The sequence below is a fragment of the Homo sapiens genome, chromosome 19, assembly GCF_000001405.40.
Source record: "Homo sapiens chromosome 19, GRCh38.p14 Primary Assembly".
Classification (NCBI taxonomy): Eukaryota; Metazoa; Chordata; class Mammalia; order Primates; family Hominidae; genus Homo; species Homo sapiens.
The window spans coordinates 12488101-12500543 of NC_000019.10; the positions used below are offsets into that span (position 1 = coordinate 12488101).

The following is a 12443-nucleotide window of genomic DNA, read 5'->3' on the forward strand; positions in this document are numbered from 1 at the left end:
GGCGTGAGCCACCACGCCCGGCCCACTCCTCCACTCTTAACCACTATTCTCTTTTACAATTTTATACCTTTGCCTTTTTCAGAATGTCATATAAATGGAACACAAAGTAGTCTTATTAGTCCTGTTTTCAAATTTGACGACTTATTTGTAAACATTGATACAGTACCTGCAGTGTTCTGAGTTTTTTTGTTTTTTTTTTTTTTTGAGACAGAATTTCACTCTTGTTGCCCCAGCTGGAGTGCAGTGGCGCCATCTCAGCTCACCACAACCTCCGCCTCCTGGGTTCAAGCAATTCTCCGGCTTCAGCCTCCCGAGTAGCTGGGATTACAAGCATGCACCATCACACCCGGCTAATTTTGTATTTTTAGTAGAAACGGGGTTTCTCCATGTTGGTGAACCTGGTCTCAAACTCCCGACCTCAGGTGATCCGCCCGCTTCAGCCTCTCAAAGTGCTAGGATTACGGGTGTGAACCACAGTGCCCTGCCAAGTTTTCTATTTTTGACAGTGCCCAGTACAGGTGGTGGCACACATTCGAACTTCAAAACTGAGAGATTACGGGGCTGGGCACGATGGCTCATGCCTGTAATCCCAGCACTTTGCTTCAGCCTCCCCAGTAGCTGGAATTGCAGGCATGTGCAATTTTGTATTTTTAGTAGAGATGGGGTTTCTCCATGTTGGTCAGGCTGGTCTCAAACTCCTGACCACGTGATCCGCCCGCCTCGGCCTACCAAAATGCTGGGATTACAGGCGTGAGCCACTGCGCCCGGTCTATATTCTGGTTATTAATTCCTTGTCAGATGGGTAGTCTGCAAATATTTTCTCCCATTCTGTAGCTTGTCTTTTCACTTTGTTGTACAGAAGCTCTTTACTTAATGTGACCCCTTTATCTATTTTTGCTTTGGTTGCCTGTGCTTGTAGGGTATTACTCAAGAAATCTTTGCCCACTCCAATGTTCTGGAGAATTTCCCTATATTTTCTTTTAGTAGTTTCATAGTTTAAGGTCTTAGATTTGAGTCTTTAACTGATTTTGATTTGATTTTTGTATATGGTGAGAGAGAGGTCTGTTTCATTATTTTGCATATGGTTATCCAGTTTTCCCAGTCTCTTTATTGAAGAGACTGTCCTTTTCCCAATGTATGTTCTTGGCACCTTTGTCAAAAATGAGTTCACCATAGATGTATGGATTTATCTCTGGCGTCTCTATTCAGGAGTTTAAGACCAGCCTGGCCAACATGGTGAAACCCTGTCTCTACCAAAAATACAAAAAAATTAACTGGGCACAGTTGTGTGCACCTGTAGTCTCAGCTACTCGGGAGGCTGAGGCAGGAGAACCGCTTGAACCTGGGAAGCGGAGGTTGCAGTGAGCCGAGATCACGCCACTGCACTCCAGCCTGGGTGACAGAGTGAGATTCCATCTAAAAAAAAAAAAGACGGAGAGATTCCATTAGCACTGTGGGCTATAGGAATGTAGGCAAGACCTTGTGCTCCCTATACTTCAAATTTTTCATTCATAAGATAGGACGTATGGTTGGATGGGGCTAGTCAAATGAAATACTAATGATTATATCACATTAATTTCCAATGACATATAGTGAGATGCATATATGTCATTGAAATGTTGGACAAAAATTAGGTTTTAATTGCTCTCTAGTAAAACACAAAGCTGTTAACTTTTTTTTTTTCCATCTTCCCTAACGTGTGCTGGAGGTCTACCATATGGAAATGATACCTGCGGACAGTTTCATGGGCTTTTGGGTCTTTGTGGATCATTGAAACAAAAATTACCCAGCTACTTCTCTTGTTTAAAAAAGCATTAAAGATTGAAAATGTCAAATATACTTTTTTTTTTTTTGGTAGAGACAGAGTCTCGCTCTGTCGCCTAGGCTGGAGTGCAGTGGCAAACTCGGCTCACTGCAACCTCCGTCTCCTGGGTTCAAGCAATTCTCCTGCCTCAGCCTCCCAAGCAGCTGGGACTACAGGTGCACACCGCCACATCCAGCTAATTTCTTTTGTATTTTAGTAGAGACGGGGTTTCACCATGTTGCCCAGGCTGGTCTCAAACTCCTCAGCCCAGGCAATCACCAGCCTCAGCCTCCCAAAGTGCTAGGATTACAGGCGTGAGCCACCGCCGCCAGACATATACCTTATTTTTAACTAAATTGGGATGAAAATCAAAATAATACCCTCTGTCTGTAGCTTGCTGCAATTCTAACTTGGATAATTGCCCTCTAAACATCCATAGTTCTTTTGGATTTGTCAACTGGGAAATCACTGTGGATTTGGCTAGATATCACCCTGTTCATCGGAAAAACCTGAGATGGTTTGCACTATGCAGATGACTGTTACCTTTCTCCAAACTGGGAAGAACTCCATGGTTTTCTGATTACAATTTGTGTCATTCAGTCTCCAGTAAATGCAAAATTATAATGTCAAATAGATGAGATCAATGGAATAGAATTGAAATCCCAGAAATAAACTCATATATATATATACATACATATATATATATACATACATATATATATATATGTATATATATATATATATATACTCAAATGACTTTCAAAATGCTGCCAAGAATATGCAAAGACTATTGTTTTCATAAATTGGTGCTGAGACAACTGGATAGCCACATGCAAAAGAATGAAGTTGGACCCCTACATCACCCAATATATGGTAATTCACTGAAATAGATCACAGACCAAAACATAAGAGGTGAAATTATAATAATCCTAGGAAAAAAAGGTGGGAAATATTGATAATCTTGGATCTGGCAAAGAATTCTTACATATGCAGGCCGGGTGCAGTGTCTCATGCTTGTTTTCCCAGCACTCTGGGAGGCCGAGGGGGCCGGACAGCCTGTGGTCAGGAGTTTGAGACCAGTCTGGCCAACGTGGTGAAACCCCATCTGTACTAAAAATACAAAAAATTAGCCTGGCATAGTGGTGCATGCCTGTAATCCCAGCTACTCAGGAGGCTGAGGCAGGAGAAACACTTGAACCCGGGGGGGTGGAGGTTGCAGTGAACTGAGATCATGCCACTTCACTCTAGCCCGGATGACAGAGTGAGACTCCATCTCAAAAAATAAAAAAGAATCCTTACATATGCAGCCAAGTGTGGTGGCTCATGCGTGTAATCCCAGTACTTTGGGAGGCCAAAGTGGGAAGATCACTTGAGGTCAGGAGTTTGAGACCAGCCTGGGCCACATAGTGAGACCCTCGTCTCTATTCAAAAAACAAAAGGAAAAAAGAATTCTTACATATGACAGCAAAAGCAAAAATTGATGTGTGTGTGCAATAGAATACACACACACACATATATATACACACACACACATAATTTGGGCCTCATAAAAGTAATAGCTTTTGTGCTTCATAGAACACTATCAATATGTTGAACCAACCCTGCACCCCTGGGATAAATCCCACTTGGTCACGATGCATTACATTTTTAATGTGTTGTTGAATTTGCAAATATTATAATCCTATATCTGGAAAAAACTAAAGACTCCACCAACCAGCACTTTGGGAGGCCGAGGCAGGTGGATCACGAGGTCAGGAGTTTGAGACCAGCCTGGCCAATATGGTGAAACCCTGTCTCTACCAAAAATACAAAAATTAGCTGGTCATGGTGGCATGCACCTGTACTCCCAGCTACTCAGGAGGCTGAGGCAGAAGAATCGCTTGAACCCAGGAGGTGAGGTTGCAGTGAGCTGAGATCGTACCACTGCACTTCAGCCTGGGCGACAGAGTGAGACTCTGTCTCAAAAAAAAAAAAAAAAAAAAAGACTCCACCGAAAAACTATTAGAAATGATAACCCAATTCAGTAAAGTTCCAGGATACAAAATCAACATACAAAAATCAGTAGCATTTCTATATGCCAACAGCAAACAATCTAAAAAAGAAGTCAATAAAGTAATCCCATTTATAATAGCTACAATTAAATACCTAGGAATTAACTTACCCAAAGAAGTGAACAATACCTACAATGAAAACTATAAGACATTGATGCAAGAAATTGAAGAGGACAAAAAAATGAAAAGATACTCATGTTCATGCATTGGAAGAATCACTATTTTTTTTTTTTTTTTTTTTTTGAGACGGAGTCTTGCTCTGTCGCCCAGGCTGGAGTGCAGTGGCGCGATCTCGGCTCACTGCAGGCTCTGCCCCCCGGGGTTCACGCCATTCTCCTGCCTCAGCCTCCCAAGTAGCTGGGACCACAGGCGCCCGCCACCTCGCCCGGCTAATTTTTTGTATTTTTAGTAGAGACGGGGTTTCACCGTGTTAGCCAGGATGGTCTCGATCTCCTGACCTCGTGATCCGCCCGCTTCGGCCTCCCAAAGTGCTGGGATTATAGGCGAGTCACCGCGCCCGGCCTAGAATCACTATTGTTAAAATGTCCATACTAACCAAAGAAATCTAGAGATTTAATGCAATCCCAATCAAGATACCAATGACACTCTTCACACAAATAGAAAAAAACATCCTAAGATGTATATGGAACCAAAGAAGACCCAGAATAGCCAAAGCTATCCTAAGCAAAAAGTACAAAACTGGAGGAATCATATTACCTGACTTTAAATTATTTAAATATGACTATAAATCATATTATCTAACTTTAGAGCTACAGTAACCATAATGGCATGGTAGTGGAATAAAAACAGACACAAAGATCAGTGGAACTGAATAGAGACGCCAGAGATAAATCCATACATCTATGGTGAACTCATTTTTGACAAAGGTGCCAAGAACATACATTGGGAAAAGGACAGTCTCTTCGATAAAGAGACTGGGAAAACTGGATAACCATATGCAAAATAATGAAACAGACCTCTCTCTCTCACCATATACAAAAATCAAATCAAAATCAGTTAAAGACTCAAATCTAAGACCTTAAACTATGAAACTACTAAAAGAAAATATAGGGAAATTCTCCAGAACATTGGAGTGGGCAAAGATTTCTTGAGTAATACCCTACAAGCACAGGCAACCAAAGCAAAAATAGATAAAGGGGTCACATTAAGTAAAGAGCTTCTGTACAACAAAGTGAAAAGACAAGCTACAGAATGGGAGAAAATATTTGCAGACTACCCATCTGACAAGGAATTAATAACCAGAATATAGACCGGGCGCAGTGGCTCACGCCTGTAATCCCAGCACTTTGATAGGCCGAGGCGGGCGGATCACGTGGTCAGGAGTTTGAGACCAGCCTGACCAACATGGAGAAACCCCATCTCTACTAAAAATACAAAATTAGCGGGGCATGATGGCACATGCCTGCAATTCCAGCTACTGGGGAGGCTGAAGCAGGAGAATTGCTTGAACCCGCGAGGCGGAGGTTGCGGTGAGCTGAGATCGCACCATTGCACTACAGCCTGGGCAACAAGAGCAAAACTCCATCTCAAAAAAACAGAAACAAAAACAAAATAAAAAAAAACCCCAGAATATATAAGGAGCTCCAAAAAAATCTATAGAAAAAATCTAATAGGCCGGGCGCAGTGGCTCACGCCTGTAATCCCAAGCACTTTGGGAGGCCAAGACAGGCGGATCACGAGGTCAGGGGATCGAGACCATCCTGGCTAACACGGTGAAACCCCGTCTCTTCTAAAAATACAAAAAAAAAAAAAATTAGCTGGGCGTGGTGGCGGGTGCCTGTAGTCCCAGCTACTCAGGAGGCTGAGGCAGGAGAATGGCGTGAACCCAGGAGGCAGAGCTTGCAGTGAGCCAAGATCACACCACTGCACTCCAGCCTGGGCGACAGAGCGAGACTCCGTCTCAAAAAAAAAAAAAAAAAAAAAAAAAAAAAAAAAAATCTAATAATCGGATTAAAAATAGGCAAAAAATCTGAAAAGACATTTCTCAAAAGAAGGCATGCAAATGGCAAACCGTTATATGAAAAGGCCAACATCACTGATCATCAGAGAAATGCAAATCAAAACTATTATACAATGAGATATCATCTCACCCCTGTTAAAATGGCTTTTATCCAAAAGTCAGGCAGTAACAAATGCTGGAGAGGATGTGGAGAAAAGGGAACCTTTGTACACTGTTGGTGGGAATGTAAATTAGTACAACCACTATAGAGAACAGTTTGGAGGTTCCACACACACAAAAAAAATAAAAATAGAGCTGCCATTTGATCCAGCAACCCCACTTTTAGGTAAATACCCCAAAGAAAGGAAATCCATGTATTGAAGAGAGATATCTGCACTCCTATGTTTATTGCAGCATTATTCACAATCCCCAAGATTTAGAAGCAACCTAACTGTCCCTCAACAGATGAATGGATTAAAAAAAAAATGTTCCAAATACACAATGGAGTACTATTCAGCCATAAAAAAGAATGAGATCCTGTCATTTGCAACAATTTGGATGGAATTAGAGGTCATTATGTTAAGCGAAATAAGCCAGGCACAGAAAGACAAACTTCACATGTTCTCACTTATTTTTGGGAGCAAAAAATTAAAACAATTGACCTCATGGAGATAGAGAGTAGAAGGATGGTTACCAGAGGCTGGAAAGGGTAGTGCGGGGGTTGGGGGAAGGGGAAGTGAAGATGGTTAATGGCCACAAAAAATAGAATGAATGAGACCTAGTATTTGCTAGCATAACAGGGTGATTATAGTAAAAAATAATTTGGTTGCACATTTTTAAATAACTAAAAGAGTATAATCGGCTTGTTTGTAACACAAAGGATAAATGCTTGAGTTGATGGATTCCCCATTTACCATGATGTGATTATTAGGCATTGCATGCTTACATCAAAATATCTCATGTAACTCATAAATATATACACCTACTATGTACCCACAACAAAACTTAAAATTAAAAATGTAAACATTGCCTGGTCTCTGTGAACCTACGGGGTCACAGTTCTGAGTGTCCTGGCAGCATGATGCCAAGCCACTGTCCTCTGGAGAATATCTGACTCTCCTGATCCAGTATGGCCTTGCCTCCAGGGCCCTTTTGCTGTGGATTTACTCCTCAAAGAGTCAGTCATCAAGGGGTTCGCTTTATCTGGAAACTCTTGTCTGGCATTCCCTGCGCGCACACCTATGTCCCCGTTCAGAAGCTTCTTCGGTAAACGCCAGTGTCCGGTCTGAGGGCCTTTATATCTAGCATATAAAGTTCTGGTATAATGCAAATGTCTCTGGCAGGACAGTTTCAGGGACAAAAGTGGAAGCTGGATCGCTCAGCTACCTGACCTCCGTCTGAGATGTGACTCAGGCAACAGGGGGTGGAACCTCACAAACTGTCCAATTGGAGACGCCGCCGGAGCGGTGGGTGGGGCCGCCCTGTACAAAGGCGCGTGGATACGGTGGCGCGATTTCCAGTTTGTGTCTCTCCTGCCTCGAACGTCGCTAGGTGGCTCTGCCGCAGCCTCTGTCGCTCTGGGACCCGCACTGGCAGAGGGAGTCGTAGTTAGGGGGTGGGGACACCGCGGAAGCCCGGAAATGGTGACTGTGCGGGGCCTGGAATCCCGAGACCTGAAGAGCTGCTGGCCGGAACCGGCTGTCGCGGGAACCGGGCCTGCCCGCGGCCACTCCTGGGTCTGTGAACCCGAGTCCCCCTGGCGTAGCTCGGCCCTCGGCCTCCTCCCGCCGCAGAGTGAAGCTGGGCCGGCAGCCAGGATCCCGGGAGTCCTGTCCTGTCCCCGCGCGGCTACTGAGGCCCGGGTCCCGGAGCCCTGTGTGGGCAGCTCCATGCCCGTAGCCCCGCGTCTTCCAAGATTGTGTGGGGATCACGGGAGGGTCATAGGAGAGAAGGAATCCCGGCTCGAGTGTGGCGTTCGTGCGTGGGAGGAGCGGTGGTCCGTGGGGTCCCCAGTCTCTTCTTTTTCCCCAGGGGGACCGGTTTGCCCCTTAATTTTACAAACGTGTGAAAACAGGATCTCAAATCCACGACCCCGTTTTCCAGCCTAGCTCTTCCTAGGACTGACAGGAAATCCCTAAATTTGCCAATTCCTTCTTTCATTCCAAATGAAGCTTTCCCTCTCCAATTCATAATATTATTATTTGCCCTGTTAAATACAATTTGTAGGAAGCCATTGGTTTAGACTGAGCTCCTGCACTAGACCCAACAGACCAAACCAAAATGAGTTACCCACGGGGACGTTCCTCGCTACCAAGCTGAAACTAAGTTGTTTATCTGACCTTACAAATTATCAGGAGAGAAAGAGATGCTGGTCAAATCCCCAACAGGCCAGTTTTAGCCAACATGATAAAGAAAGTCCCCTCTGCTTTAACTTTTACCAGAAAAGCAACTTTGAAAGTTCCCGTCTTTCAACTGGGCGTGATGGCTCACGCCTGTAATCCCAGCACTTTGGGAGGCCGAGGTGGGTGGATCATTTGAGGTCAGGAGTTCGAGACCAGCCTGGCGAACATGGTGAAACCCTCGTCTCTACTAAAAATACAAAAATTAGCTGCATGATGGCCTGTGCTTGTAGTCCCAGCTACTCAGGGGGCTGAGGTGGGAGGCTCACTTAAGCCCAAGCCCTGGAGGTCGAGGCTGCGGTGAGCTATGATCTCGCCACTGCGCTACAGCCTGGGTGACAGAGGGAGACCCTGTCTCAAAAAAATAAACATCAATAGCGGTTGAAAGCCCCATGACTGGGGAGCAGCAGCCAGAGACTAGTGACTTCAAGCTAAGACCACTCTTGAGCCTGCAAAGGGAGGTCATTGAAAGCCCAGATGGGTCTTCCTGGGGAGCCTTCCCCAAAAGTGTCCTACTTGCTCTCACCCACCAAGGAAAGAGCTCTTTATACAGAGAGAAGCTACAGAGCACTGGAATGCTGGGAACCGCACGCGGTTTTAGGAGAACCGGGAGGGTTTTAATTGTCTAGGTTGTAATTGTAGTTTCCTTGGGTCTACTTTTAGACATTAGGTTTGAGTTTTGCTTTCACATTAGGGTACACTCGTGGTGTAATTTTTCCATATTGAAAAAGTCTGTGAAAGTTACAAGTTCTGTCTCCTGGACATGGTGTTAATGACTTTGGGAGTTCATTTGTGTCAGAACCTTCATCTGAATCCAGCTGACAGTTTCGTCACTTACGAGAACCAGTGGGAAGGGGCATTCTCTGCTCCCGGAGTTCATTCCTGTGGCTGCTCAGGTGTCCCTGCTGTCACCAGGGACTATTCCACTCTAGGGACTATACCCTAACAGGGAGAGAGTGTGGACTCCAAGCTTTGGTATGTGTTTAACCTTCTGGATGTTGGTTTTTCTTCTGAATTGCGGAGAAGCAGGCTGCTTATCTGAGCTGATTCAATGTTTGTGTTTCTTTCCTTTGGATTCCTTTTTCTATTGAATATTGCAGCACTTTAACTCCAGTTTCCTTTAACATTTTGTAATTTTATTCCCTGTATGAGTCTGTAGGATTTTTAGTTTGTTGGTCTTTGAAAATTTAAGTTGATTGAGAAATATGATGTAAGAGAAGCAAATCCTGGAACCAAATAGAATTTTTATTCCTTTCAGGCAAAAGAAGCTCATGGTGTGAGATGGATATGTTTAACTTCTCAGGTGCATTTTTATTTTTACATTAGTTTGTGTGTGTGCATATCCCTAGAAAACTTTCAAACTTCAAAGGCTCTACTATTCCCAGGGCAAATGGATTCCTGTTTTAATTGATACGAGGAAAACTACTCCTCAAAGCTTGTGTAATCTTTGAAAAATTCTACTACATTTAATGGTTATATCCAAACCCTAATGTATTATAATATGCTACTCTTTTTTTGAGACTGAGTCTTGCTCTGTTGCCCAGGCTGGAGTGCAGTGGCGCCATCTCGGCTCACTGCAAGCTCCACCTCCCGGGTTCACGCCATTCTCCTGCCTCAGCCTCCCGAGTAGCTGGGACTACAGGTGCCCATCACCACGCCTGGCTAATTTTTTTGTATTTTTAGTAGAGCTGGGGTTTCACCATGTTAGCCAGGATGGTCTCGATCTCCTGACCTCGCGATCCGCCCGCCTCGGCCTCCCAAAGTGCTGGGATTACAGGCGTGAGCCACCGCGCCCAATCTATAATATGCTACTCTTTCCTGAAAATACCCCTCAGTGTGAGATACAGTGGACAGACATGCTATGATGCAGATTCTCTTAAGATTTGAAATTTTACATTTCGTATAGTTTACACTTTTAAAAGTGTATAAAGGATTAAATCTTAATGAAGACAACTTAAAATTTAAAAAAAACTACATTATTTAAAGACTTTAATAGTAAAATATAGTGCAGATAAATATCTTCGTTCATTTTATTTTTTTATTTTTTATTTTTTTTGAGACGGAGTTTTACTCTTGTTGCCCAGGCTGGAGTGCAATGGCACAATCTTGGCTCACAGCAACCTCCACCTCCCAGGTTCAAGTGATTCTCCTGCCTCAGCCTCCCGAGTAGCTGGGATTACAGGCATGTGCCACCATGCCCAGCTAATCTTTTTGTATTTTTAGTAGAGATGGGGTTTCTCCATGTTGGTCAGGCTGGTCTCGAACTCCTGACCTCAGGTGATCTGCCTGCCTCGGCCTCCCAAAGTGCTGGGATTACAGGCGTGAGCCACCGTGCCCGGCCTTTTTAATGTATATTTTTAGACAGGGTCTTGCTCTGTCACCCAGGATGGAGTACAGTGGCACGATCGATCATAGCTCACTGCAGCCTCAGCCTCCCCTGCTCAAGTGATCCTCCCAACTCAGCCTCCTGAGTAGCTGGAACTACAGGCACATACCACCATGCCTGGCTAATTTTTGTATTTTTTGTAGAGGCAGGGTTTCACCAACCGGCAGGGTTGCCCGGGCTGGTCTTGAACTCTTGAGTTCAAGTGATCCTCCTAGCTCGGCCTCCCAAAGTGCTGGGATTACAAGTGTGAGCCACTGCACCAGGCCTCCATTCATTTTAGAGAGATAATACATGTGAAGGTTAAAAAAAAAAATCTATGAGACAGGAAAATCTAACATAAGACTCACTGTCAAGCATATCCTGGTTCATTCCAGGATTCTTGCTCCAGCCACCCCGCCCTTCGTAAAAACTTTTGGTAATTCCTTGTGCATCCTATTAGTGTTTCTTTATTAAAACAAGCAATTGCAGGCCAGGCGCGGTGGCTCACACCTGTATTCCCAGCACTTTGGGAGGCCGAGGCAGGCGGATTACCTGAGGTCTGGAGTTCGAGACCAGCCTGACCAACATGGAGAACCCTTGTCTCTACTAAAAATACAAAATTAGCTGAGCGTGGTGGCGGGTGCCTGTAGTCCCAGCTACTCAGGAGGCGGGCGCCTGTAGTCCCAGCTACTCGGGAGGCTGAGGCAGGAGAATCACTAGAACCCAGGAGACTGAGGTTGTGGTAAGCTGAGATTACGCTATTGCACTCCAGCCTGGGCAACAAGAGTGAAACTCCGTCTCACACAACAACAACAACAAAAACAAGCAATTGCAAATGCATGTTTTTCTTATCCATGTTTGCTCTTGTAATGAGTAGTTGGACTCCACCCTTTCTGGTATTTGACTGTTGGCAGATTCAGTGTCAACCCCCCTCTTCTTTCTAACAGCTGCCCACTGTCAATGGAATCACCAAACTCTCAAATATTTTAAGGCTTTATTCTGAGTCAGTATGAGTGACCACGGCCCAGAAAACGCAGTCTCAAGAAGTCCTGAGAAAGTGCACCAGTGGCAGCCAGGTTACAGTTATTTGGTATTTTTGAGACAGGGTCTCACTCTGTCGCCCAGGCTGGAGTGCAGTGGCACAATCTCAGCTCACTGCAACCTCAGCCTCCCAGGTTCAAGCAATTGTTGTGCCTCAGCCTCCTAAGTAGCTGGGATTACAGGCCTGCGTCACCATGCCTGGCTAAATTTTTTGTATTTTTAGTAGAGATGGGGTTTTGCCCTGTTGGCCAGGCTGGTCTTGAACTCCTGGCCTCAAGTGATCTGCTGGCCTCAGCCTTCCAAAGTGCTGGGATTACAGGCACGAGCCACAGCACCCAGCTACAGTTTGGTTTTATGCATTTTAGAAAGACAGGAGTTGCAGGCAGACATAAATCAGTACATGGAAGGTAGGCATTGATTTGGCCTGAAAAGGTAGAATATCTTGAAGCGGGGGCTTACAGGTTATAGGTAGACTCAGAGGTTCTTTGATTTACAGTTGGCTAAAGGAGTAAACATTTGGAGTCATTAGATAAGAATGAATGTTTGGGCCGGGCGCGGTGGCTTATGCCTGTAATCGCAGCACTATGGGAGGCCGAGGCGGGTGGATCACCTGAGGTCAGGAGTTCGAGACCAGCCTGGCCAACATGGAGAAACCCTGTCTCTACTAAAAATATAAAATTAGCCAAGCGTGGTGGTGGCGCCTGTAATCCCAGCTACTCGGGAAGCTGAGGCAGGAGAATCACTTGAACCTGGGAGGCGGAGGTTGTGGTGAGATCATGCCATCGCACTCCAGCCTGGGCAATAAGAGCGAAACTTTGTCTCA

At 44.8% G+C, this 12443-nt stretch overlaps 4 annotated features.

Moving 5' to 3' along the window:
* Nucleotides 6422–7302: an enhancer, noted in NCBI's record as "H3K27ac hESC enhancer chr19:12605336-12606216 (GRCh37/hg19 assembly coordinates)". NCBI's record gives its function as "activates a minimal SCP1, AML or CMV promoter by ChIP-STARR-seq in naive H9 embryonic stem cells {active_cell/tissue: H9 hESC(naive)}" and the evidence as "EXISTENCE:reporter gene assay evidence [ECO:0000049][PMID:30033119]".
* Nucleotides 7204–7253: a silencer, noted in NCBI's record as "silent region_10151". NCBI's record gives its function as "represses an Ori minimal core promoter by ATAC-STARR-seq in GM12878 lymphoblastoid cells {active_cell/tissue: GM12878}" and the evidence as "EXISTENCE:reporter gene assay evidence [ECO:0000049][PMID:35858748]".
* Nucleotides 7303–8182: an enhancer, noted in NCBI's record as "H3K27ac hESC enhancer chr19:12606217-12607096 (GRCh37/hg19 assembly coordinates)". NCBI's record gives its function as "activates a minimal SCP1, AML or CMV promoter by ChIP-STARR-seq in naive H9 embryonic stem cells {active_cell/tissue: H9 hESC(naive)}" and the evidence as "EXISTENCE:reporter gene assay evidence [ECO:0000049][PMID:30033119]".
* Nucleotides 7444–7523: an enhancer, noted in NCBI's record as "active region_14056". NCBI's record gives its function as "activates an Ori minimal core promoter by ATAC-STARR-seq in GM12878 lymphoblastoid cells {active_cell/tissue: GM12878}" and the evidence as "EXISTENCE:reporter gene assay evidence [ECO:0000049][PMID:35858748]".